The sequence below is a fragment of the Homo sapiens genome, chromosome 6, assembly GCF_000001405.40.
Source record: "Homo sapiens chromosome 6, GRCh38.p14 Primary Assembly".
NCBI classification, from domain to species: domain Eukaryota; kingdom Metazoa; phylum Chordata; class Mammalia; order Primates; family Hominidae; genus Homo; species Homo sapiens.
In genome coordinates, this window is record NC_000006.12 from 17788681 (window position 1) to 17816228 (window position 27548).

A 27548-nucleotide genomic window follows, 5' to 3' on the forward strand; every position below is an offset into this window, starting at 1 on the left:
AGAATAGAGCCCTTGGACCTCTGAAACTTTACCAACAGTGTACCCACATTTTTTTTTCCCCGAAACAGAGTTTCGCTCTTGTCGCCCAGGCTGGAGTGCAGTGGCACAATCTCGGCTCACTGCAACCTCTGCCTCCTAGGTTTAAGCGATTCTCCTGCCTCAGCCTCCCGAGTAGCTGGGATTATAGGCGCGCGCCACCACGCCCAGCTAATTTTTGTATTTTTAGTAGAGACGGAGTTTCACCATGTTGGCCAGGCTGGTCTTGAACTCCTGACCTTGTGATCCACCTGCCTCGGCCTCCCAAAGTGCTGGGATTACAGGCGTGAGCCACCACGCCCAGCCACTGTACCCACATTTTACATGTAGGAAGGCACACTGGGAAAACATCCTTTGAAGATGTGTATGGAGAATCCGTACAAAGACTGGGAACCGAACCCAGAAAGCTTCATCTTGGTTTGCTGCTTTGACTATTTGTACGTAACCCCACACTCCATGATATCAGGCCAGTCAGTGCTGACTAGGTACAATCTCAATTTGCACATCTATATATTTTTTCTAGATTCCCAACCAGAAAAAGCTGAGATTTAAATTCTATAGGTTATGGAGAACTAAGTGTGACCCAAATGAGAAAAGAAAGCTGGCTAAACAAAACACAATTATGCGCATAAAATGTCTCCAATTTTCCTATTCAGCAAAAGTCTTGTAAAGTAAAATGGCATATTACAACAATATTAGCTCTTGGATGTAAGGAGCAGAATGCACTTTAGCATGGGAAAGATAAGAGTCTATCTAAAAGATTATGGATGGATAACTGCAATATTTTAAGATCATCCATTTTTTAAATTAATTAATTAGTTAATTAATTTGCAGGAGACAGGAGTTTTATTATTACTCAAATCAGTCTCCAGATCATCCATTTTAATACAGTGATAATGGTCTTGCTTAGCAATAAGCCAGTAAATCGAGATGGCATAGCAAAAAGGCAATATTTAGTTATAAATTTTGAACTGACAAGGCATCTATAGAAATAATATTGTGTTTGAATACATATAAAGCAAATCAAAAGCAAGTGAAAAACTGCATATTCTCGCTCTAGGGCCCTCCTTCCTCCTCCCTGGCCTCTGCTTTGCGAATGCTGGCAATTAGCAGTAGCTGTGCCCCATGCCACAGGATTGACAGCAGTAGCAATACCTGATAACTATCCATATCATCACCATCCTCATCATCTCTCTGGTAGGAAAAAATAAACACAAAGGACAAGCATTTTGTTTTTCAAACCACATACAGGGAAAATAATTATTTAAGCTTAACACACATTAAAATGGACAGCTTACCTAACATAAGCAAAATAAAACACTAAATTGAATCTCAAAAAAGGTAAAATGGATTTAATTCACTTGTCTATAAAGAATTTTTCACATAAAGAGTCATTGAAACATAAAAACTTGGCTGGGCTCATGCCCGTAATCCCAACACTTTGGGAGGCTGAGGCAGGAGGATCTCTTGAAGCTAGAAGTTTGAGACCCGCCTGGGCAACAATAGCAAGACCCCATCTGTACAAAAAATTTTAAAAAATTAGCTGGATTTGGTAGTGTGCAACTGTATTCCCAGCTACTTGGGAGACTAAAGTGGGAGGATCACTTGAGCGGAGGAGATGGAGGCTGCAGTGAGCTCTGATTACACCACTCCACCTCAGCCTGGGCAACAGAGCAAGACCTTGTCTCCAAAAACATAAAATAAAAATAAGAAATCTCTTAGCTGGAGATAGGAACCAACATAATTGGGCCAGGCCTTATACCACTGTCATACAGACAGCTGATATGTATTTTGGGGTAGACTATTTGACTGAGATTTGAGATAGGCTTAGGAAGACAGAGTGGCAAAACTACAGGGAACATTCTCTTGCCCAATCTCAGTTTGAGCAATGAGGCAAACATCCTTTAAGCCTTAAAGGATGAAATGATTTAACCTTAGGACCACACAGATAATGGCAGGTCAGAACTGTAAGCCATGTCTGAGGTCTCCAACCTCAGCTGTCTTCCCTGATGCAATCATCCCAGGGGAAAGCTGGGGCAACCTCAGGCTATATACATACAAGGGTCTGTACTACACTGTTGAAATAAAAGCAATAGCATACTATTTGGAATATAAGGATTGGTCAGTACTCTCTATTGACCATAACAATCACTTGAAAGAATCATAACTGTCCCAAACACAGGGCAACATTGTAAAATAAATAAACAAAGTAACAATTTTTGCAAAAACATTTGGCAAAACAAAGTAATCACGTTGAAAACAAAAGGGTCTTGGTAGAAAAAAATTTTCCTTATAAACGAGAACCTAGAATCCCTTAATTTAGATTTATGACTAAAAAGTGCTTTAAGAATATAGTCAAAATTATTTTCATATATACTTCAAAATGAACTGCTTTTTTTTTTTTTTTAGTTTGGTAACCACCATTATCAGTTATATGACTAACTTATTAAATGTAATCCTAATCCTGAAGTAATTTATCTTGAACTAATGCTTCCTATTAATGTAAAAGAACAAATGGCTCTAATTTATCATAACTTTTTAAACTATGGAGGTAGTTCTATTAACTGAAAATTGGCCTAAGCATTCATGACATGAAATTGTTGCAAAACCAGCATATTCTGCATTGGTTTCAGCTACTGCATGAGAATAATTCTTTTTTTTTTTTTTGCATCAGAATAATTCTAAAACACTGTGACAACAACAAAAACACTTAACAGACGTGACCTGGAACATGGCAGCAAAGAAAAAAAAAGCCTTTAAAATAGTTACAGTCCAAATTTTAAGCACTATGCTCTTAAAGAGCACATAGCACTGGGGAAAGGCTAATATTTTAAAGTTTACAATTTGACAAAAATCAGTTTTAACTCAGAGGTAGAGCTGTTTTTTAAAAAATGTGAACAGTTGCTGGGTGTGGTGGCTCACACGTGTAATCCCAGTACTTTGGGAGGACCAGGCAGGCGGATCATTTGAGGTGAGGAATGCAAGACCAGCCTGGCCAACATGGTGAAACCCGTCTCTACTAAAAATACAAAAATTAGCTGGGTGTGGTGGTGCGGGCCTGTAATCCCAGCTACTCGGGAGGCTGAGGCAAGAGAATCACTTGAACCAGGGAGATGGAAGATGCAGTGAGCCGAGATTGTGCCACCACACTCCAGCCTGGGTGACAGAGAGAGAGACTCTGTCTCAAAAAAAAAAAAAAAAAAAGTACTGAGCGCAGTGGCTCACGCCTGTAATCCCAGCACTTTGGGAGGTCGAGGTGGGTGGATCATGAGGTCAGGAGTTCAAGGCCAGCCTGGCCAACATGATGAAACCCCTATCTCTACTAAAAATACAAAAATTAGACAGGTGCGTTGGCAGGTGCCCGTAATCCCAGCTACTCTGGAGACTGAGGCAGGAGAATCGCTCGAACCCAGGAGGCAGAGGTTACAGTGAGCCAAGATTGCACCATTGCACTCCAGCCTAGGGGACAGAGTGAGACTCAAAAAAAAAAAAAAAAAAAAAGCAGCAAATAGTTGATCCTTGGAATGTTCCTCAAATGAGAACATTTAGTTAGTTGATGACCCATATACTTATACTGCAGGTCACAGTTTGGAGCACACAGCCGATGTTTTTATTGAACACCAGAGATTTATTAAGCCACAAAATTTTATTGTGGACAGGGACCTCAGAGGATTATTAAGTCTACTTCATCAGTTTGGAGAAAAGGGGAACTCAAAGTTTAAATTTTCCAGCCAAGATAACCATTTAGTAAAGCTCAACTAGACTTAAGAACCCAGGTTTCCTGACTCCCAGTCTAGTGTTCTCTTTCGACCGTGCAGCCACGTAGAAGTTGATGGCTAAGTGAAGGACTGAACTGCTATGAGAATACCTACAATCCCATTTCCTGCTCCACGGGCTGCACACACACAAGGAAAAGTCTGGTGGAGAAGCCTACCAAACCACAGCAGCCCTGTCCTTGCACCTACACTCATACTCTGAATGAAGTGTGGACAGATGTTCCGAGCTAGAGGGAATTTTGGGCTTGAAGAAGGCAGGCAGCATCTGACAAAGCTATTACTGCCTTGAAGTTCAATAGTCTGTGCACTGACTTTCAGCTTTCAGAAGAGACTTTGCCTGAAAGCCAGGAAGCCAAAAGGAAACTAAGATAGAAGAGAAAACATCCTCAAGATTGGCTGGGCTTACACTCAGACTCCATAGAGAAATGTTTTCTCCTCGGCACGATAGGGAGAGTGCTCCCGATCACATATGACGGTGAGGGAGGCAGATTTAACAGTGATTCTTCCCAGTTCCTAATTCATATCTGGTAGTAAACTGGGGACTCAATGAAGCACACACATTTTTTTTTAGGCTACTGGGGGACAAGATCCTAATTTTATTTTTTTTGAGACAGCCTTCCTCTGTCACCCAGGCTGGAGTGCAGTGGTATGATCTTGGCTCACTTGCAGCCTCTGCCTCCTGGGTTCAAATGACTGTCATGCCTCAGCCTCCTGAATAGCTGAGATGACAGTCATGCACCACGACACCTGGCTAATTTTCTGTATTTTTAGTAGAGACGGCGTTTTGCCATGTTGGTCAGGCTGGTCTCGAACTCCTGGGCTCAAGTGATCCTCCCACCTCAGCCTCCCAAAGTGCTGGGATTACAGGCATGAGCAACCGCGCCTGGCCAAGTTCCTAATTTTAGAGATTCTTTTCATGGAGTACTGAATAGTTCTGACTGATAATACGATCAATTCTTAGATCAATTCTTAGAGGTTTTCATCTTTTTATTTTTAAAATGAGAATGTTTAGAAAATGAAGATTTAATGAGCAAAAATGATCATAAGGACAAATTTTAACAAAAAAAGAAGTAAAGCTTTCAAAGAACTGGTTTATTATGACAGTGTATGAAAATAATTTTACACTATAAATAAAAGTGGCCAGGTGCGGTGGCTCATGCCTGTAATCCCTACACTTTGGGAGGCTGAGGCAGGAGGATCACTTGAGTCCAGGAATTTGAGACCAGTGTGGGCAACAGAATGACATGCCCTTCTCTACAAAAAATAAAAGAATCAGCTGGGCGTGGTGATGTGTGCTTGTAGTCCCAGCTACTTCAGAAGCTAAGGTGGGAGGACTGTTTGAGCCCAGGAGGTCAAGGCTGCAGTGAGCCATGATCACACCACTGTACTCCAACCTGGCAACAAAGCAAAACCCTATCTTTTAAAAAAAAAACACACACAAAAAAACCCAAAAAGTGGATCAGGTCAGGCAGTAATGCCAAAGATACAACATATTTTGGGCCAGATATAAAATAAAATCTGCCTAAAGTTAATGACTACTATAGCATTAGGATGCGTGTGTTTATAAATAAAATTATTATTAACTGACACTAAGCAAACAGATTTTAAAGCTAGAAAAAAGGCAATGGATGGAAATGTGAACTGGGGGAAGATCTACGGTTAAGGCAAAGAGTTCTGTTATATTGGCAAAGAGGTCCCCCTGGGACCTGCATTAACCAAGCTTTGTTAAATACTATTTTAAGTCTGCTTGTCTTACCTGGTAACTGTCCAGCCCTCTTTGGAGTTTGGTGGACCTGGCAGTTACACAGCCGATGGATACTGACAGGATGGCTTCAACCATAAGTGGCAGTGTCCCTGAATGCTGCACAGGTTTCACCGTGACTTGTACTCTACGGGAATGACCCTGAAGAGGGTGGGGAGGAGTATGGGTGCCAGGAATGATAATGAAAAGGAACGGGATAAAGAAGGGGAAAAGGATTAGAGAATAAAGATACAAATAGTTAGAAAATCCCCAGAAACAATGTGTAAGAGTGGAACAGAGAGAAAACATTAAAAAAAAACCCAAAACAAACTCAGTACCTGTCTAAGTTGAAAGATGCCTCCTGTGTTGACATCTTTTGCCTGATGAAGTTCCACTGCAGCATACTCTCCTAACTCATTCAATTCTAATATGGAGATCCACATTTCTATTCTTCGCGTTACTTCATTCCACCTGCAGAAACACATTCCAACAAGCAAGAGCGTCATCGTCCAGGGATACTGTTAGTAATAGTAATAAGCCACCATTCACTGAGCACTTACTATGTGCTAGGCACTGTGCCATTTATCTTGTATAAGTTACTTCCTTATTTAACTCTCAAAACCAACCTGTCATATTGTTTCTTTTTATTTATTTTACTGAGGTAGACTGAAATGTCCACATCTTGAGTATAGAGCTCGATGAGTTTTGAGAAATGCACATATGAGTGTAACCTGCCCTATCACCTCAGAAAGTTTGCTCATATGCATTCCCATTCAATCCCCACATTCCCGTAGCAACTGTGTAACTCTCAGAGATTAGTTTTGCCTGTTCTAGAACTCCAAATAAATGGAATCACACATTATGTATTCTTGTGTCTGGCTTCTTTCATTCAGCATAATGTTTCTGAGATTCATCCATATGGATATAAACAGTTTTTTTCTTTTTTAATGCAGAGTAATACTTTATTTGTGAATAATACCAATTTATCCCCATTCACTCACTGAAGGATATTTGGGTTATTTGCAATTTGGGGATACCATGAATAACACTGCCATGAACATCGTATAGGCTGGGTGTGGTGGCTCGAGCTTGTAATTCCAGCACTTTGGAAGGCCAAGGCGGGTGGATCACCTGAGGTCAGGAGTTCGAGACCAGCCTGGCCAACATGGTGAAACCCTGTCTCTACCAAAAATACAAAAAAAAAAAAAAAAATTATCCGGGCATGGCAGCACACGCCTGTAAGCCCAGCTACTCAGGAGGCTGAGGCAGGAGAATCACTTGAACCCAGGAGGTGGAGGTTGCAGTGAGCTAAGATCGCACCACTGCACACTCCAGCCTGGGAGACAGAGCAAGACTCCATCTCAAAAAAAAAAAAAAAGAACATTGTGTACAATTCTATTTGTGGACTTGCATTTTCATTTATCCTGGGTAAATACCTATGAGTGGGATTCTTGGGTCATAAAAGAGGCAAATGATCAACTTGATAAGAAACTGCCAGTCCTCCCCCAGATTGCAGCTTGTGTATTCATTTTCATAGTGGTCTTTTGATGAGCACATGCTTTTAATTTTGATTAAGTCCAACTTAAACAATTTTTTCTTCCATGGTTAGCACTTTCTGTGGCCTGAGAATATGTGACTATCTCAAAATCCTGTGTTCTTCTGTAGGCATTATAGTTTAAGTTGTTGTATTTAAGGTTATGTATGATTCATCTCAAATTAATTTTTGTATATGGTGTGAAGTAAAGAACAAGGGTGATTTTTCTCCACATAGAGATGTAGTTGTTTCAGTCTCATTTGTTGATAGGACATATCATTCCCCATTGAATTTCTTTGGTGGTTGGTAATTTCTTTCATCATTCTCATTTTACAAACGAGGAAATAGGCTCAGAGAAGTTAAATAACTTGTCCAAAATAACGGCAGCAGTCCCAGAATTCAAAGCCTGTATTCTTTTTTTTTTTTTCTTTCCTTTTTTTTCTTTTTTTTTGGAGACGGAGTCTCACTCTGTTGCCCAGGCTGGAGTGCAGTGGCACGATCTTGGCTCACTGAAACCTCCAGCTCCCGGGTTTTATTTATTTATAAATAATTTATTTTTTTATAAATAAAAAAAAAATAAATAAATCCTGCCTCAGCCTCCTGAGTAGCTGGGATTACAGGTGCGTGCCACCACACCTGGGTAATTTTTGTATTTAGTAGAGATGTGGTTTCACCATGTTGGTCAGGCTGGTCTCGAACTCCTGACCTCATGATCCGTCTGCCTTGGCCTCCCAAAGTGCTGGATTACAGGCATGAGCCACCGCACCTGGCCATTCTTTTTTTTTTTTTTTTAAATGATTTTATTTTTTTATAAGCAGCCTCCTAGGCCAGAGTAGGTTCAGAGACTCTGCTCAAGTCCTAGTCTTAACCTTGTACCTAAAGCTCACAGCCAAGTACAAACCTGTCATGCAGTGTTCTTGTCTTAGCATGAAGAGAATCGACCTCCCAGATGGAGCTGCCATTTCCAGCACACCGGTGGCCCCATACTTCAATGGCCAGTGCTCCATCTGAAATGAACTCCAGAAATTCTTCTGTTACATTCACCACATAGTCCTGGGATAAGTGGGGGAAAGCAAAAGAATTATGCTTAAAGGAGTCTGTGAAATTTCCTTTTGACCTTTCAACTGTTATATTTATTTTAGAGTATATTAGCCTGATCGTGACCTTAAATCCGTCTCTTCTGTTTTATAGAAAACCATAAAGAACCACAGAATGTTAGATCTGGAAAGAAAATTGGGAGGTAATTTAACTCAACCCGTTTCTTTCTTTTTTTTTTTCTTGAGACAGAGTCTTGCTCTGTCGCCCAGGCTGGAGTGCAGTGGTGCGATCTCCGCTCACTACAAGCTCCACCTCTCAGGTTCACGCCATTCTCCTGCCTCAGCCTCCCGAGTAGCTGGGACTACAGGCACTCGCCACCACGCCCGGCTATTTTTTTGTATTTTTAGTAGAGACGGGGTTTCACCGTGTTAGCTACGATGGTCTCGATCTCCTGACCTCGTGATCCACCTGCCTCGGCCTCCCACAGTGCTGGGATTACAGGTGTGAGCCACCATGCCCGGCCTCAACCCGTTTCTTATATCAATAAAGAAAATGAAGAAAGCAAATTGTCCAAAGTCATACGGTTTGTTAGTTGCAAAGCTGAATCTACATCGTCTTACACTTGGTTCATTCTCAGTTCCACAGGACCACTCTGATTTTCAGCTGGCATAGACTAACTCAATGAACTGTTCCTTGCCATGGCTTAGGAGAATAATAACAGAATTAAATTTTATATGGTTATCTTCATGACTTTATGCTCTTGCTCTTAAGCTTTCCTACCCTATTTCCTCTTTCCAAAACACAAACAGACAGGGCAAGGTGACTCACGTCTGTAATGCCAGCACTTCGGGAGGCCAAGGCAGGAGGATAGCTGGACAAAGTGACCAGGAGATAGTGACCAGCTTGGGCAACAAAATGAGATCCTGTCTCTACAAAGTAAAAACTAGCCGGGTGTGGTGGTGCACACCTGTAGTCCCAGCTACTCAGGAGGCTGAGGCAGGAGGATTACTTGAACCCAGGAGTTCGAGGCTGCAGTGAGCCGTGATTGTGCCACTGCATTCCAGCCTGGGCAACAGAGTGAGACATCGTCTTTAAAAATAAAAACAAACCCAAACAGATGATTGTGAGGAAATGAATACTGAACTGACTGAGATGGGTGGCAAATCACCCAGAAAAACGAAGTAGGCAACGAGCCAAGCTAATTTTCTTTCCATTAGTCTTTAGGTGGAATCTCAGGTGAAGACATTGCTTGTGACTCTAATTTGCAGAAACAGTTGTGCTATATTTATTTAACCATATAGTATCTGCTTTTTAGTCTATTTTATTTGAAGATAGACCCAGAATTTAAGAAGAAAAAGAAACTTCATGACAATCTATACATTTTAGCGATGAAAAAACTCCAAGATGAAAAAACTCCAAGATCACAAGAGATCCAAAAAACTCCAAGATCATAAGAACCCAGAAGCTCTGGGACTAGCATTTATTAAAACAGCTGTTAACCAGGACACAGTTAAAATTCAGATTTCATCTTTCTAAACAAGCAGCTTTGTGGATTCAAAGAAAGATGGGGAATATTTAAAATAATATTCAGAGAACAACAATAAAAAATGATTAATAAAGATTTTGAGGAACAGACTTGTTGAATACAGATAAATGTATGCTATTTGTTTTCAGAAAAAGAAAAACTTGACAGCCCTTACCTATGTGAAATTTTATAGGTGGTGATATGGATTCGTTTTCTAAGTGTAGAACCAGAAAGAATAAGCATGATTTGCAAAAGAAGGGATCTTGTGTATCTATGAAGGGAAGTCTAAGGAAAAACAAAACTATAGAGAGGATGGAGCTGGTCTTTTAGAAATGACTTGTCAGCAGTCCTTGTGAAAGCCAGGAAGAGTATATGATGTCTCAAAGGAGATCCAACCACATTCACCACAAATTCACCTTTCCTTTTTTTATATTTTCTCATATGACTTATGAGAAACTCTATATGAAACATATCACTCATATGATACATTAGAATGTAATGCTATATTCATAAGAATCAGATGTATAGCAACTTACATGTTAAGATGCGCAAATTCTGAAATATGTATAATATGATCCCACTTTTGCATAGCATTTTTAAAGAACTTATGTGTGCATGATGTAAAAGGGTGTATGTACATATGTTATGACACACATATAAAAGATGCAGAGCATAGAAAGTAGTTTAATGAAATATGTAGCAACCTGTCACTGGTGGTTTATATCTTTGGGGAACAAGACTGTTGGTAGAGATCTTTTAGATTTTATTTTAAATATTTCTAAACTATTTGCATTTGTAATGAGGTACATTTTTGAGGTTAAAACATCTAATAAACATATTATACTTAAAACAAATGCTTGTGGGGACAACTGATTGTTGAACTGCACCAATTTCTGCTGCTTCCTACACAGCTCATTTGGTAATGGCATTTGTACCTTACAGTGGGAGAAGGTCACTGTGTACTGGGCATCCTTGGACTGTGGTGAAGGCACCTCGGGGTCCACCACCGGGGCAGCCACCGTAGACTCACACTGGTCCCAGAATGTGTATTGACAGAAGACAAAATTTGAGAGGTTTAAGGGCAGCCCCGTTGCTTCTTTAATTTTTACCTGAAGAGATAAACAATACAAATAAAACTCCAATGAACACTAAACATTCTTTCATTTCAGCTACCTCAAATTTAAGAGTAAGCGATGAAACAAATTGGTCATCCATTTGACATGTGAAAATATTATATCTGACACCGTGACACTAAGGGTTGTATCGATAATGAAATCTGTACCACAGTTCTGTAACTATAGTATATAAACTTGGCAACAAATACACACATTCCTGCAAAAGCTTCCTAATGACTGAGATGCAACCTTTAATAGAAAAACATAATTCACTAAGCAACATACACTTCTTGCATGTCAAATACATAAACACTTTTGAAATTTGATGCAACTGTCATAAGAAAGTGTGCTATATTTCTGAAAACAAAGTACTGTCCACCACTGTATCTGCTGTTACAAAATCCAACTTTTACTACCCTGGATGAAAAACTCTCATAAGATTTTTTGTAAAATGGTTTTGCATGAAAAAGGTCATTTATATGAGCCTCCCATCACTGTCCTCTCACCCGACATGTCAGCTTTTTGACTCGGTGAATGATTTCCCCGCTGCTGTCTACGACTTCAAGGCTCCCACTTTCACTGGAATTCTCCGAAGAGTCATCCTCCACCACACGCTCTGGAACAGCTCCTGTAACACGCATCACTTCCACGTGGAGACGCCCTGCAACCTGGGTCAAGGAACCAGAGCACCTTAGAGTGAACAGACATCCTGTGGGCAACCTCGACCCAAGACAGACGTGCCTTCTACAGTGAACCTGGAGAGGGGCTCTGCAGCTGCTGCTTGGTCGTCTTCGGCAACGGGAGCCCTGCTACTACCAGAGCAGTCCATTCCACCACTTGCCCCTGTGATCATCCTGCCTTAGTGTGAGCCAAATTTGCCTCCCTGCAACTTGCCTTCTGGAGTCATCCTCAAATGTATCCTTCCAAAGGACAGCCCAGGAATAGCTTAAAGGTAGCTCTCACATTTTACTTGGAGTCATCTAGTATCCATGTTTTGTTTTGTTTTTCCAAGATGGAGTCTTGCTCTGTCATCCAGGCTGGAGTGCAGTGGCATGATCTCAGCTTGCTATAACCTCTGCCTCCTGAGTTCAAGCGATTCTCCTGCCTCAGCCTTCTGAGTAGTTGGGATTACAGGTGCGTGCTACCACGCCCAGCTAATTTTTTTTTTTTTTTGAGACAATGTCTAGCTCTGTTGCCCAGGCTGGAGTGCAGTGGCGTGATCTCGGCTCACTGCAACCTCCACCTCCTGGGTTCAAGCGGTTCTTCTGCCTCAGCTTCCCAAGTAGCTGGGATTACAGGTGCCTGCCACCATGCCTAGCTAATTTTTGTATTTTTAGTAGAGACGGGGTTTCACTGTGTTGGCCAGGCTGGTCTCGGACTCCTGACCTCATGATCCACCCGCCTCGGCCTCCCAAAGTGCTGGGATTACAATCATAAGCCACCGTGTCCGGCCAATTTTTGTATTTTTAGTAAAGACGGGCTTTCACCATCTTGGCCAGGCTGGTCTCGAACTCCTGACCTTGTGATCTGCCTGCCTCGGCCTCCCAAAGTGCTGGGATTATAGGTGTGAGCCAACATGCCTGGCTATCCATGTTTTTTAAAATATATTCACTCACCTATTCATGTGAGTGAATATGAAATGCTTCATTCACTTATTCATTTGACCAAACAGCTAGCTCATGAAATACCAAAATAAAAACACAGGTTCTGCCATCAGGCAACTCACAGTAAAGGGAGGCAAGACAGAGAAGTAACTCACTAACAGGCCAGGCGTGGTGGCTCAAGCCTATAATCACAGCACTTTGGGAGGCCGAGGCGGGTGGATCACCTGAGGTTAGGAGTTCAAGAGCAGCCTGGCCAACATGATGAAACCCTGTCTCTACTAAAAATACAAATAATTAAAAAAAAAATTAGCCAGGCATGGTGGGTCATACCTGTAGTCCCAGCTACTCGGGAGGCTGTGGCAGGACTGCTTGAACCCGCGAGGCGGAGGTTGCAGTGAGCCGAGATCGCACCACTGTGCTCTAACCTGGGCAACAGAGTGAGACTCGGTCTCAAACAACAACAACAAAAACAACAACAACAACAGCAACAAAACTCACTAATAACAGCATAGAATAGTTGCTATAATAGATATATGTGCGAGTTGTTATGGGATAAACTTATCCACTAACACATATTTACCAAGAACTAACTGTGCCAGGAACTGTGCTATGAGCATCCAATAGCAAACCAAATTGACAAGGTTCCCGGGCTCGCGCAGCTTTTATTCTCTTGAGAGTAGAGAATGGGTGTGTAACTCAGACTGGGGCTGGGAGCAGGATGAAGGAGGGCTCCATAAAGCAGTGCCATTAGATCTAATCCAGGAGGAACAGCATATTGAAAGCCACACAGATATGAGGAATGTTACTTTAAAACTTTTTCATTAAAAGGTTTTAAATTTTCTATCATGGTGGCTCTCTGGATAGGAGCCAGTTTAACCGTGTTTTTCTTAAAGCTGGCTGCACAGAATCAAATTAGAGGAAAAGGATTATTCTAAAATTTGCATTCTTGGAGTGCTTTGTCTTAATTATATTTCATAACATAGTTTCAGGTTGTAATGACTGTGGCTGTCATTACACATGTGTACAAGGTGACACATGTTCTGGTAGTACTGCTATCATCCTAAACAGGGAAGGTTATTTTTAAAGGTAGATCAGATCCAATTTCCACACAGCAATTGGTACTGGCACCAAGGACCTACAAGAAATTACTCGATGATATCTGAGAAGTAAGACAAATATGGAGGAAGTAGTAAGATGGGGGAAGAAAGGAAATAAAAGAAATCAGAAGATAGTTGTTCTTAAGCTTTTTTTTTTTTTTTGAGACGGAGTTTCGCTCTTGTTGCCCAGGCTGGAGTGCAATGGCGCGATCTCGGCTCACAGCAACCTCCGCCTCCCGGGTTCAAGCCATTCTCCTGCCTCAGCCTCCGGAGTAGCTGGGATTACAGGCATGCGCCACCACGCCGGCTAATTTTGTATTTTTAGTAGAGATGGGGTTTCTCCATGTTGGTCAGGCTGGTCTCGAACACCGGACCTCAGGTGATCTGCCTGCCTCGGCCTCCCAAAGTGCTGGGATTACAGGCGTGAGCCACCACACCCGGCCAAGCTTTTTTTTTTCTTTTTAATGCTTTTCGATAATCTAATTCATTTTAATATAATTTCAGGGGGATTCATGGAATACTCAAAGCATACCACAGACTCCAAATTAAGAAGTCCTGAACTAGGGACTCAGCCACTGAATCACTCTGCCATGTTAACTGTGCTTTTTCTTTTTGAGACAGGGTCTTGCTCTGTTGTCCAGGCTGGGGTGCATTGGTATGATCATGGCTCACTGCTGCTTAGACCTACCTGGGCTTTGGTGATCCTCCCACCTCAGCCTCCTGAGTAGCTGGTGGGACTATAGGTGCTCATCACCATGCCTGGTTAATTTTTTTGTGTTTTTTTTGTTTTTTTTTGTTTTGTTTTGAGACAGAATCTTGCTCTGTCACCCAGGTTGGAATGTAGTGGTGTGATCTTGGCTCACTGCAACCTCCACCTCCCGGGTTCAAGCGATTCTCCTGCCTCAGCCTCCCGAGTAGCTGGGACTACAGGTGCCCGCCACTAAGCCTGGCTAATTTTTTTGTATTTTTAGTAGAGACGGGGTTTCACCATATTGGCCAGGCTGGTCTTGAACTCCTGACCTTGTGATCCACCTGCCTCTGCCTCCCAAAGTGCAGGGATTACAGGCGTGAGCCACTGCACTCTGCCCATGCCTGGTCAATTTTTAAATTTCTTTTTTAGACATGGGGTCTCATAGTGTTGACCAGGCTGGTTTCAGACTCCTAACTGTGCCCATTTTTCCCATGGGAAAAAGCTCTGTTAGGCACTGGTCCTCTGGAGCAGAATGTCCATGGGGTGTTTCCATAGTGGAGGGTGGGCTGTGCACTTACACCCCACAACTGGGAACCCGGGTCTATATCGCAGCTTCACTTTGGGCAGAATGGCATCTTATTCTTCACCTGCTCTAAGAATCACAAGAAATAACCTGGTAGTTCAACGTACATTTTCTGAAATATCTTATGCCTACCTAGGCCACTATATCTAAATAGCTGAAATACCAGAGTTTAAAAGGAGGGTAACAATGAGTCATTGAAGCCTGTTTTGTTTTGAGTACTTTGGACTGCAAAATAATCCTCCTGAGTTGTATCTTACAAAGACCATTTAGGGGCCAGGAAGGAACTAGAGTATATCGCAAAGGTATGAGATTACCTTTAAAAAGAGAGAGCGATATGGGGCACAGAGCTGAATATGGTTTCCAAAATATTTCCCATTTGATTAAAACAAAGAAAAAACTTGTGACCTCCAAATATTAAATGTTATAATAATCTTTTAAGACCATGACTTGGGCCAGGCACCGTGGCTCACGCCTGTAATCCCAGCACTTTGGGAAGCCGAGGCGGGCGGATCACAAGGTCAGGAGATCAAGACCATCCTGGCTAACACGGTGAAACCCCGTCTCCACTAAAAATACAAAAAATTAGCCCGATATGGTGGTGGGCGCCTGTAGTCCCAGCTACTCGGGAGGCTGAGGCAAGAGAATGGCGTGAACCCGGAAGGCGGAGCTTGCAGTGAGCCGAGATCGCGCCACTGCACTCCAGCCTGGGCGACAGAGTGAGACTCCGTCTCAAACAAACAAACAAACAAACAAAACCATGACTTAATCCTCAAAGCTTCTAATATCGATTATTAGTAGAGAAAAAAGAATGCAGACCTTGACTATTTGCCTTAGTTTCTTGATCCACCTCAAGAACATAGCTTAAATAGAATGAAAAACAAAATAAAACAAAACAAAAAACTTGAACCACCATCGTTCTCCAAGGCTGGCCTGTGCTTACCTCCCCCTGCTGGCTGATGATAGGGACTGCATACTGAAGTTTCACATCACAGAAGAGGCATTCCAAGAATACATTCGCCACCCCGATGAGGTTGTGATTTTCTTGGGCTTCATAGAAAGGGTCACCTCGTTTTCCGTAGAGTCTCTTTGCCTGAGAAGTAGGAGGGGCCAGTGAGTGGACGAATAAGAAACATAACATCAATTTAAATAATATTATTTAAAACTAGCATTTGAAAAAAAATTTAAAGAATCTATCCATTTAAACAGCAAGTAAAATTATAATGTCACATAAATAAAAACTAAATTAGCTGGGCGTGGTGGCGCACGCCTGTGGTCCCACCTACTCAGGAGGCTGGGGCACGAGAATCGCTTGAACCCAGGAGACAGAGGTTTCAGTGAGCTGAGATTACACCACTCCAGCCTGAGTGACAGAGCGAGACTCTGTCTCCATTAAAAAAAAAAAAAAAAAAAAAAAAAAAAAAAAAAGAATTAGCCCATGGGAGGGGCCTGTTTGCTGGGGAGCTAACTAATGCCTGTGCAGAAGATTCCTCTTCAGTTCCTGCCTTGTCTTCCTTATCTACCTCACTTGCAGCTTTTTCATTTCATCCCCTTTGTTTTGCCTCATCTCCTTTGCCAAGTCTTCTTTTCCACTGCTAATGTCCAAAAAATGGATTATGCAAGCTTAAATTACTCTTAGTAATCTACCTGGCCACGATCACAGCTAGGGGTGCGTGAACACACATTAATGAATGCGAAATCCACACTGGCTCCAGTCAAGCTGATTTTTCACAGCACCGATAAAATGGCATAAATTTACTTCATTCTACTTCTTTTCACTTGAAATGTAGTAAACATGAAGCCAAATAAGAATCTACTATATGTTTTCTTCATTTAGTTCCCAACTGTGTGGGGATCATGTGTTGTATTACTGATCCAACTTAGCGCTTCTTTCAAAATCACTTGTACTTTATTTTCCTAATATAATATCTAACGTATCATGAGCACATCTCCGTGTGTGTGTGTGTGTGTGTGTGTGTGTGTGTGTGTGTTGCTAAATCGCTTATATTCTCTGTTTTTAACATAACAAAATCTCCATTACATTTTGTCTCTTTTACCTCAGGAACTTTTTCCTTCCATTCTTGGTAAAGGTCTCTCATGTCAATTAATTTATTCTCCAGCTTCTCAATGGTCCACACTTGGGTGCTCTTTCCTTTCCTCCTCACTTGGATAGCTGGTTCACTCACTATTGCACCTCTCTGCATAAGGAAGAAAAACAAAACAAACCCTGTTATAACTCCTTTTTCGATTGCTAAAGCAATATATATACAACAGTAACACAGTAAGTTTGCAAAACACATAAATGCATACAAAAGAAGATAAAATTCTACCACCTACGAGGATAGTCTGGTTTATTTTCTACCTTCTATGTACACTCATGCACACTTTTTAATTTTTATCACGATCAAGACCAAACAAAAGTATAACTTCATACCCCAATCCTCTCTCCAGTTTTGATATTGTGATCATTTTTCTTGTATTGTTAAATATTCTTCATAAGCACGATTTTTTTTTTTTTTTGAGATAGGATCTTGCTCTATCATCCAAGCTGCAGTGAAGTGGTATGATCTTAGTGCACTGCAGCCTTGACCTCCTGGGCTCCAGGAATCCTCCCACCTCAGCCTCCCAAGTAGCTGGGACTATAGGCACATGACACCATGACTGACTATTTTTTATTTTATTTTTTGTATTTTTTTGTATAGATGGGGTTTTGTTATGTTGCCCGGGCTGGTCTCGAACTCCTGTACTCAAGCGATCTGCCCACCTTGGCCTGCCAAAGTGCTAGGATTACAGGCGTGAGCCACCAGGCCCAGCCATAACCATGATTTTTTAATGGCAACACAGCAGTGTCCTTAGCATTTGGATGTACTATACATTTGAGTAATTATTCTATTGTTTGACATCATGTCTGTTTCAAGGTTTTGCTATTATAAAGTCCACTATAAGCATCCTTGTGTATAAATCTCTATGGACACTTCTATGACTATGGGCTTAGAATAAATTTCCCAAAGGGGAACTACTAGGTCAAAAGACTAAAACCCAGTAAGACTGATAAGATACTCCCTGACTCATTTTCTAGCTTGCTTGCTGGAAGAAAAAGTGAATGGATGAAAAACAATTTTCTTACTTTTTTTAAATTTAGTTTTTCTTTTTTTCTGAGTCATAGAAAAACAATTTTCTGGCTGGGCACGGTGGCTCATGCCTGTAATCCCAGCACTTTGGGAGGCCAAGGTGGGTGGATCACCTGAGGTCAGGAGTTCGAGACCAGCCTCACTAACATGGTGAAACCCTGCCTCTACTAAAAATACAAAATTAGCTTGGTGTGGTGGCGCATGCCTGTAATCCCAGCCACTTGGGAGGCTGAGGCAAGAGAATCACTTGAACCCGGGAGGCGGAGGTTGTAGTGAGCCAAGATCATGTCATTGCACTCCAGCCTGGGCAAAGAGCGAAACTCTGTCTCAAAAAACAACAACTGTTGCAGGAAGTCAGGGACCCCAAACGGAGGGACCGGCTGGAACCGTAGCAGAGGAAGATGAATTGTGAAGATTTCATGGACGTTTATCAGTTCCCAAATAATACTTTTATAATTTCTTATGCCTGTCTTTACTTTTATCTCTTAATCCTATTATCTTTGTAAGCTGAAGATGTACGTCATCTCAGGACCACTGTGATAACTGTGTTAACTATACAAATTGATTATAAAATGTGTGTTTGAACAATATGAAATCAGTGCACCTTGAAAAATAACAGAATAACAGTGATTTTTAGGGAACAAGGGAAGACAACCATAAGGTCTGACTGCCTGCAGGGTTGGACAAAAAGAGCCATATTTTTCTTCTTGCAGAGAGCCTATAAACAGACATGCAAGTAGGAGATATATTGCTAAATTCTTGTCCTAGCAAGAAATATTAATATTAATACCCTGGGAAAGGAATGCATTGTGGGGGGAGGTCTATAAACGGCCGCTCTGGGAATGTCTTACCTGGTTGAGATAAGCACTGAGATACGCCCTGGTCTCCTGCAGTACCCTCAAGCTTACTAGGGTGGGGAAAAACTCCACCCTGGTAAGTTTGTGGTCAGACCGGTTCTCTGCTCTCGAACCCTGTTTTCTGTTATTTAAGATGTTTATCAAGACAATATGTGCACCACTGAACATAGACCCTTATCAGTGGTTCTCCTTTTGCCTCTGTCCTGTTCCCTCAGAAGCATGTGATCTTTGCTAGACTGGTATTAGTAGTTCTGCTTTTTGTCCTTTGAAGCATGTGATCTTTGTACCTACTCCCTGTTCTTACACCTCCTCCCCTTTTGAAACCCTCAATAAAAACTTGCTGGTTTTGAGGCTCAGGTGGACATCATGGTCCTACCGATATGTGATGTCACCCCCGGCGGCCCAGCTGTAAAATTCCTCTCTTTGTACTCTTTCTCTTTATTTCTCAGCTGGCTGACACTTATGGAAAATAGAAAGAACCTACAATGAAATATTGTGGGCGGGTTCCCCTGATAAACAACAACAGCAACAAAAATGAAAAACAATTTTCTTCAAAGTTTCTCCCTACAGGAAAAATTCTTCAAGGTGAAATGACAGGAAACTCCCAGACGCTTGCAAAGAGAGCCGTGTATTTGAAGTCAGGTATCATGAAAAGTCTTCCTTTCTTGTAGAATTCACTCTTAAAAAGGTACCATAGCAGGCTGGGCACAGTGGCTCACGCCTGTAATCCTAGCACTCTGGGAGACTGAGCGTGCAGAACATCTGAACCCAGGAGTTCAAGACTAGCCTGGCCAATATGGCAAAACCCTGTCTCTACTAAAAACACAAAAATTGGCCGGGTGTGCTAGTGCGCGCCTGTAATCCCAGCTACTCGGGAGGTTGAGGTAGGAGAATTGCTTGAACCCAGGAGGCGGAGATTGCAGTGAGCTGAGATCATGCCATTGCACTCCAGCCTGGGTGACAGAGCAAGACTCAGTCTAAAAACAAACAAACAAACAAACAAACAAAACCCTCAGGTACTACAGCCTACATGTATTCCCCCATTTCAGAAAGGGGCATTTACATGCAAAAAAAAGCAGGCAAAATACATGTTTCCAGTTTTATTGTTTTAAAGAAGGCATATAAATTAGGAAGTCCTTCAGCCACTAAAATTTTGTGTATTCTGCTTATTACATATCTAAGAACATCATTTAAATAGCATTCTTATCCAATGAGGTATATAAAGAATGTCTTGAAAAAAATAAACATCTCTGGCTGATATCAGGATCTCCTCAGGCATGTTTCTGGGGTTTCAGTTTTAGATCCTATTTTACAATATTTACTATTGTGCATCTTGCCCTCTCACTTGAAGGACATTCTTACCTTCCTATTGGCACTGAGGTTTGCAGCAGGGATCTGAAGAGTCACTTGGTAATCGGTGAGTTTGCTCATTTCCTCAGCCAGGAAGTTTGCTTCCCTCACCAAGGTATTAGCTTTAACCAGCTGCTCTCGCAGTTTTGCCAGGCTTTGTCGGAAGAGTTCATCCCTGCAGTGTCATAGAAAAGGGAACGAGAAAATCTAAAGGAAAACTGCAATCCCGTTTCTAAGTGAGCATCTTATTAGAAAATGGGAGAAAACTCCTCTCGGGCAGTATTTTTCAAACTATTTTACCAGACTACCTCTCATCCTTCCCTCCTGCCCACAGATGGGCTATCTGTTGAGAACTACTGATGGGAAGCAAATTGTTGAGCAACTTAACTGAAAACCACGTTTTAAATTATGTAACACGTGAAAACGATCAGATTGTGATAGGAGGATGCAAAAAACCAGTACAGGAATCTTTGGGAAAAACAAACGATGATTACGACTTGTGTGTGCTGAGGGAGGGTGGTGGGGCAGGGAGGGGTTGGCAGATGAGAGAAACCTGGAGTTAGGAGAAGAAATTATTTTTCATGACTTCTGCAGTTGGCAAAAGGCATGCAATGGTAAGGTAGTTCTGCAGTAGCAGGAATTCTTCGTTTCAACTCTCTGTACAACATTACTTGCTGATAAAAAGCTTCTCTAATATCCCAGATTGGTCAAAACCCTCTTATATGTTCTCTCAGCCCCATGCCTTTAGCCTCCATAGCATTTGCCATAGTTAGAACTTTTCATTTTTACTCGTATAATTATTTGTTTAATATCTGTCTCCTACTAGGCTGTTAGGTTGCCCCAAGGCAGGGACCATGTCTTTTTTTGCTTGCACTACCCTAGCTCCTGGCCAAGTGCATGACCCATCGTAGGATATTCAAAAAAGACCCACTGAATAAAGAAAAGAGTGCTTCTGGATTTCACATTTGAATCTGGGTTCTAAAGTCACTCCATCTAGCAATTGCTCTGTGTCATATATAACTTCTCTTTTCCACCATTTATACGCCGCAGGAAATGCTTACATCATAGAAAAATAATGAACTCAAAGCACCTAAATCTCTACTCCTCACTCGTCACCTTAGAAATGACAGAAGACGCATGCTGTGCGGATGCTAAGGTAAACAAAACAGTTTCTTAAAACCATATTACCAGCTGGGGGCAGTGGCTCATGGCTATAATCCCAACACTTTGGGAAGCCGAGGTGGGAGGATCACTTGAGGCCAGGAGTTCAAGACCAGCCTGGGCAACATAGCAAGACCTCATCTCTATTAAAAAAAAACAAAAAAGGTGATACCATTTTTCCAGTCACCCACGCTTAGATTTGTTCAGTCGGCTCAGTCTCTTCTCTTTTCTACAATGTCCAAAAAATAAGCCTATTGATTCTTCCTTTGAAGCATCTCCTAAGTCTCTCTGTGTTTTATCATATCCCTGGCTCAGGGCCCTTACACCCTTCTCAATAATCTCACAGTACCCAGGCTCTTCTTGCTCCACTGCAAGACAGTCCTTATCAAGCCCTGCCTTCCTCAGGCCGTTCCTCGGCTCAAGGCCTTGCAGGGCTCCTCTTCTCCCATAAAATAAATCCCAAACTCCAAATCTGTACCCTCCCACAACCCCTGCCTAATGGTTTTTGAACTTAATTTTCCCTACTCTTCCATAAATCACCTTCTACACCAGTGGTCCCCAACCTTTTTGGCACCAGGGACTAGTTACATGGAAGACAACTTTTCCATGGACCGAGGTTGGGGAAAGGGAGAGTTTTGGGATGACTCAAGTGCATTACATTTATTGTGCACTTTATTTCTATTATTATATTGTAATAGACAATGAAATAATGATACAGCTCACCATAATGTAGAATCAGTGGGAGCCCTGAGCTTGTTTTCCTACAATTAGACAGTTCCATCTGGGGGTGTTGGTAGACAGTGATAGATCATCAGGCTTCAGACTCTTATAAGGAACATGCAACCTAGATCTCTCGCATGTACAGTTCATAATAGGGTTTGTGCTCCTGTGAGAATCTAATGCCACTGCTGATCTGACAGGAGGTGGAGCTCAGGCAGTAATGCAAGTGATGGGGAGCAGCTGTAGACACAGATGAAGCTTCGCTTGCTGGCCCACTATTCACCTCCTGCTGTGCAGCCTGGTTCCTAACAGGCCACGGACCCGTACCAGTTTGTGGTCTGGGGATTGGGGACCCCTGTTCTAGACTACACGAAACAGTTCTTTTGCAGTCTCCCAAATACATCTTAATTCTCTTCCATTGCTTCTCATCTGTTCATGCCAATCTGCCCACCCAAAATGTCCTTCTTACTTTCTCTCTGCTGGTCAAACTCTACCTCTCAAATGCACTTGAAATCAATCCTTCTCCCTGAAAACCTCTGTAGAAGACTCAGCTTCATTAAGTCTCATCTTCCACTGAACAACCAACAAGCTTACTGTGCAGTCTGTCCACTTAGCGATTACATGCTTTTCACTTCAATACATTCACACAATCAATGCATACAATATTTACTAAATACCTACCAGGTGACCACATCATTCTAGGCACTAGGGATACTTCAAAGGATTCCCTGTCCCTTGCAACTCATTTTCCAGGGTAGGAAATAGAAAACAAACAAATAACTATTAATATATAATCCTAACGTTTCCTATTGTTGAATGAAACTGTTCTTTAATTTTCTATGACTTAATTTTTCCACAAATTTATATCTTGTTTCATACTACATTCTAAGTGTACAAAGAGAATAAACGACATCTGTGGCTTTCTTTGTAATTCTCACCAGCGTTTAAATTTACTTGATTCTCAACCCATCAACATTCATGTAGGTAAGAGTCCTTCATTATTTCACAACCCATCAACAATTTACTTAGGTAAGAGTTCCAGCTTCTTATATAACCACATACAATTAATGACATCTTACTTTTATCCAGTGAAACCTGACAAAATCAATAATGCAACTATTCTTGTCTTTGAATGACATTCCCAAAATATCTCATCTTTTTTTTTCTTCCTTCCTTCCTTCCTTCTCTCCCTCCCTTTTTCTTTCTTTCCTTCTCTCTCTCTCTTTTTCTTGGAGATAGGGTCTCCCTGTGTTGCCCAGGCTGCAGTGCAGTGGCTATTCAGAGGCATGATCACAGTGCACTACAGCTTGAAACTCCTGGGCGCAGGTGATCCTCCTGCCTCAGCCTCTGGAGTAGCTGAGACTATAGGCATGTGCCACTGTACCCGACTTCTACACTTTTCCTTTCTTTTAAGAATTTAAGCCCCAAAGAAAATCAATCTGGAATTAAGGGAAATCAAAAAAATATTTTTAACTATTTAACTGAAAAACACTATGGTTAAAAGCAAACCACCTTCTTTATCAGATACTTTTGTTTTTTAAAATTTAAATATTTTGACTTATTTTAGGTTCAGGGGTACATGCACAGGTTTGTTATACAGGTCAACTCATGACTAAGGGGTTTGATGTATGGATTATTTCATTACCCGGGTAGTAAGCATAGTACTTGGCAGGTTTTTGTTTTTTTTTCCTGAGCCTCTCCCTCCTCCTCCCACAGGCCCCAGTGTCTGTTGTTCCCCTTTCTGTCCATCGGTTCCCATGATTTAGCTCTCACTTATTAGTGAGAACACGCGGTATCTGGTGTTCTGTTCCTGCATTCGTTTTCTAAGAATGATGGCCGCCAGTTCCATCCATGTTCCTGCAAAGGACACGATCTTGTTGTTTTTCATGGCTGCATAGTATTCCATGGTGTACATGTACCACGTTTTCTTTATCCAGTCTATCGTTGGACATTTAGGTTGATTCCATGTCTTTCCTATTGTGAATAGCACTGCAATGAATATACATGTGCATGTGTCTTTATGGTAGAACAACTTATATTTCTTTGGGTACATACCCAATAGTGAGATGGCTGGGTGAAATGATAGTTCTGTTTTTAGCTCTTTAAAAAATTGCCGCATTGCTTTCCACAATGATTGAATTAATTTACACTCTCACCAACAGTGTATAAGGGTTCCCTTTTCTTCGCAACTTTGCCAGAATCTGTTATTTTTTGACTTTTTAATAATAGCCATTCTGACTGGTGTGAGATGGTATCTCATTGTGGTTTTGATTTGCATTTCCCTAGTCATTGGTGATAATGAACACTTCTTAATATGCTTTGTTGGCCACATGTATGTCTTCTTTTGAAGACACTTTTGCTTTTATCTTTTATATTGTTTAGTAAATAGAAAGGATATCAATGGGTACAATTATATCAGTTATCCTCAACAGCTAGCTGTTGCTTGGCGTGAAGCCACCAGCTCATAGTAAATGTGTAAAAGGCAGCTCTTCAGAAAAAGGACCATCTGATAACTTTTGTCTGTTTCTTCCAGGTACAATAAAGTATAAAAAGTAACATAACATCTGGTGCAGTGGCTCACGCTTATAATCCCAACACTTTGGGAGGCTGAGGCGGGCGGATCACCTGAGGTCAGGGGTTCGAGACCAGCCTGGCCAACATGGTGAAACCTCATCTCTACTAAAAATACAAAAATTAGCCAGGTATTGTGGTGGGCACTTGTAATCCCAGCTACTTGGGAGGCAGAGGTAGGAGAATCGCTTGAACCTGGGAGATGGAGGTTGCAGTGAGCGGATATCATGCCATTGCACTCCAGCCTTGCACTCTAGCCTGGGCAAGAAGAGTGAAACTCCATCTCAGAAAAAAGAGTAATATAAGTATGATAAATCTTCCTATTTCAGTATCCAGACAGATGAGCAGGTAGCTCCTGGGGAAAATATAATTGACTCTCTTCTCTTCATTTAACATTAACAAGTGCGTGACTGTTGCGAGCCTTGCGCTGCAGGGCAGGGTTCCCTTTTCTCCTCTTGGGAGTCACCTTCCCCGGGTGTGGCCTGTGTTCTGCATCTCATTGCTAGTGAGAGCTGCAGTGTGTGTGTGAGTTACAGGAAGAGCTCTACAGTCAGAATGCCACGGCTCTGATCCCATCGCCCAATTTACCAGCTAACTGACCATCTGGGTAAATCATTTAACCTCTCAGCCTGAGTTTCCTTATGTGTAAAGGCAGTAGCAGTTGTGAGGATTAGAGGAATACAGGAACAGCAATTAGTACCTGGTACATGGTATAAATGGTCTATAGATGTAAGGTGCTGCTTTTTTTTTTTTTTTTTTTTTTGAGATGGAGTCTTGCTCTGTTGCCCAGGCTGGAGTGCAGTGGCATGATCTCAGCTCACTGCAAGCTCCGCCTCCCAGGTTCACGCCATTCTCCTGCCTCAGTCCCCCGAGTAGCTGGGACTACAGGCGCCCGCCACCACGCCCGGCTAATTTTTGTATTTTTAGTAGAGATGGGGTTTCACCTTGTTAGCCAGGATGGTCTTGATCTCCTGACCTCGTGATCTGCCCGCCTTGGCCTCCCAAAGTGCTGGGATTACAGGCATGAGCTACAGTGCCCGGCTTTTTTTTTTTTTTTTTTTGAGACAGTCTTGCTCTGTCACCCAGGCTAGAGTGCAGTGGCGTGATCTCAGATCACTGCAACCTCTGCCTCCCGGGTTCAAGCAATTCTTCTGCCTCAACCTCCCGAGTAGCTGGGATTATAGGTGCCCACGACCGCACCTGACTTATTTTTGTATTTTTAGTACAGACGGGGTTTCACCATCTTGGCCAGGCTGGTCTTGAACTCCTGACCTCATGATCCACCCGCCTCGGCCTCCCAAAGTGCTGGGATTACAGGCGTGAGCCACCGCGCCCAGCCAGGTGTTGCTTTTATTAGTACTATTAATTATTATAACACAGGTGTTATTAGGAGACTGCAGAGAAAACTGGGTTCAAACTCTGTTTTTTTCACTTCCTAGATGGTTGATTAAGGCAGGATATTTAAACTGATTGCCTGACCTATAAGACAGGGATAATAGTTCCTATGGCATACTGCTGCTGGGATGTTAAATAAAAGACTGGACTATGGCAAGAACACAACTGAAGTCTTCAATAGCCTATTGTCCTTATTATGGTAGTGGTGATTATTATTATTACCATTTCCTCCACTGTAGGGTCCAGCCCCACTGGGTCTGTGGATTTTTCTCCTCGTGTGTGGAGATGAGAGATCATAGAAATAAAGACACAAGACAAAGAGATAGAAGAAAAGACAGCTGGGCCCGGGGGACCACTACCACCTAGACGCAGAGACCGGTAGTGGCCCCGAATGCCTGGCTGCACTGTTATTTATTGGATACAAGAAAAGGGGGCAGGGGAAAGAGTGTGAGCCATCACCAATGACAGGAAGGTCACGCAAGTCATGTGTCCACTGGACAAGGGTCCCTTCCCTGTTTGGCAGCCAAGGCGGAGACAGAGAGAGGACAGCTTACACCATTATTTCTTCTATGTATTTCAAAGACTTTAAGTACTTTCGCTAATCCTGTTACTGCTATCGAGAAGGCAGAGCCAGGCGTACAGGGTGGAACATGAAAGCAGACCAGGAGAGTGACCACTGAAGCACAGCATCACAGGGAGACAGGCCTCTGGATGGCTGCGGGCGGGCCTGACTCATGTCAGGCCTTCCACAAGAGGTGGTGGAGCAGAGTCTTCTCTAACTCCCCCGGGAAAAGGGAGACTCCCTTTCCCAGTCTGCTAAGTAACTAGTGCCTTCCCCAGGCACTGACGCTACTGCTAGACCAAGGCCCGCTAGGTAATGGGCGCCTTCTCAGGCACTGGCCTTACCACTAGACCAGGGAGCCCTCTAGTGGCCCTGTTTGGGAGTAACAGAGGGCTTACACTTGTCTTCTGGTCACTTCTCACTGTGTCCCTTCAGCTCCTATCTCTGTATGGCTGGTTTTTCCCAGGTGATAACTGTAGAACAAAGATTATTATAATATTGGAATAAAGAGTAATGCTACAAACTAATGATTAATGATATTCATATATAATCATATCTATAATCTATTTCTAGTATAACTATTCTTATTCTATATATTAGCTTTATTATACTGGAACAGCTTGTGCCCTTGGTCTCTTGCCTTGGCACCTGGGTGGCTTGCCACCCACACTCTACCACTTTCTCCTTTGAGAGTTCTGATATAAGTATTTTAAAGTCATAAATCTTTTCTTTTAGTCAGGTTCTTTTTTTTTTTTTTTTTGAGACAAAGTCTCCCTCTTGTCACCCAGGCTGGAGTGCAATGGCGCGATCTTGGCTTACTGTAACCATTGCCTCCTGGGTTCAAGCGATTCTCCTGCCTCAGCCTCCCAAGTAGCTGGGATTACAGGCGCCTGCCACCATGCGCTGCTATTTTTTCTTTTTTTTCTGTATTTTTAGTAGAGACAGGGTTTCACCATGTTGGCCAGGCTGGTCTGGAACTCCTGACCTCAGGCGATCCGCTGCCTTGGCCTCCCAAAGTGCTGGGATTACAGGCCTGAGCCACCGCACCTGGCCTGAGTCAGGTC

The 27548-nt window shown here is 42.2% G+C and overlaps 1 protein-coding gene across 4 annotated transcripts in view, besides 1 other annotated feature; it reads right to left on the reverse strand.

Moving 5' to 3' along the window:
* The window catches only part of KIF13A (kinesin family member 13A), a 228510-nt gene that overhangs the window by 29555 nt on the left and 171407 nt on the right, over positions 1–27548 (reverse strand). For 2 of the 4 annotated variants that reach the window (NM_001105566.3, NM_022113.6), the window contains exons 18-26: positions 20088–20250; positions 16795–16935; positions 15681–15830; positions 11272–11433; positions 10586–10759; positions 7989–8140; positions 5892–6024; positions 5569–5715; positions 1192–1230 (exon numbers count right to left, since the gene is read on the reverse strand). In NM_001105566.3, the coding sequence (NP_001099036.1) occupies positions 1192–1230; positions 5569–5715; positions 5892–6024; positions 7989–8140; positions 10586–10759; positions 11272–11433; positions 15681–15830; positions 16795–16935; positions 20088–20250 (1261 nt within the window). The remainder of the gene's footprint in view (positions 1–1191; positions 1231–5568; positions 5716–5891; positions 6025–7988; positions 8141–10585; positions 10760–11271; positions 11434–15680; positions 15831–16794; positions 16936–20087; positions 20251–27548) is intronic. The other 2 variants (NM_001105568.4, NM_001105567.3) reach the window with 1 other exon arrangement.
* Positions 26698–26992: an enhancer, noted in NCBI's record as "tiled region #4440; K562 Activating DNase matched - State 5:Enh". NCBI's record gives its function as "activates a minimal TATA promoter and a strong SV40 promoter by Sharpr-MPRA in K562 cells {active_cell/tissue: K562}" and the evidence as "EXISTENCE:reporter gene assay evidence [ECO:0000049][PMID:27701403]".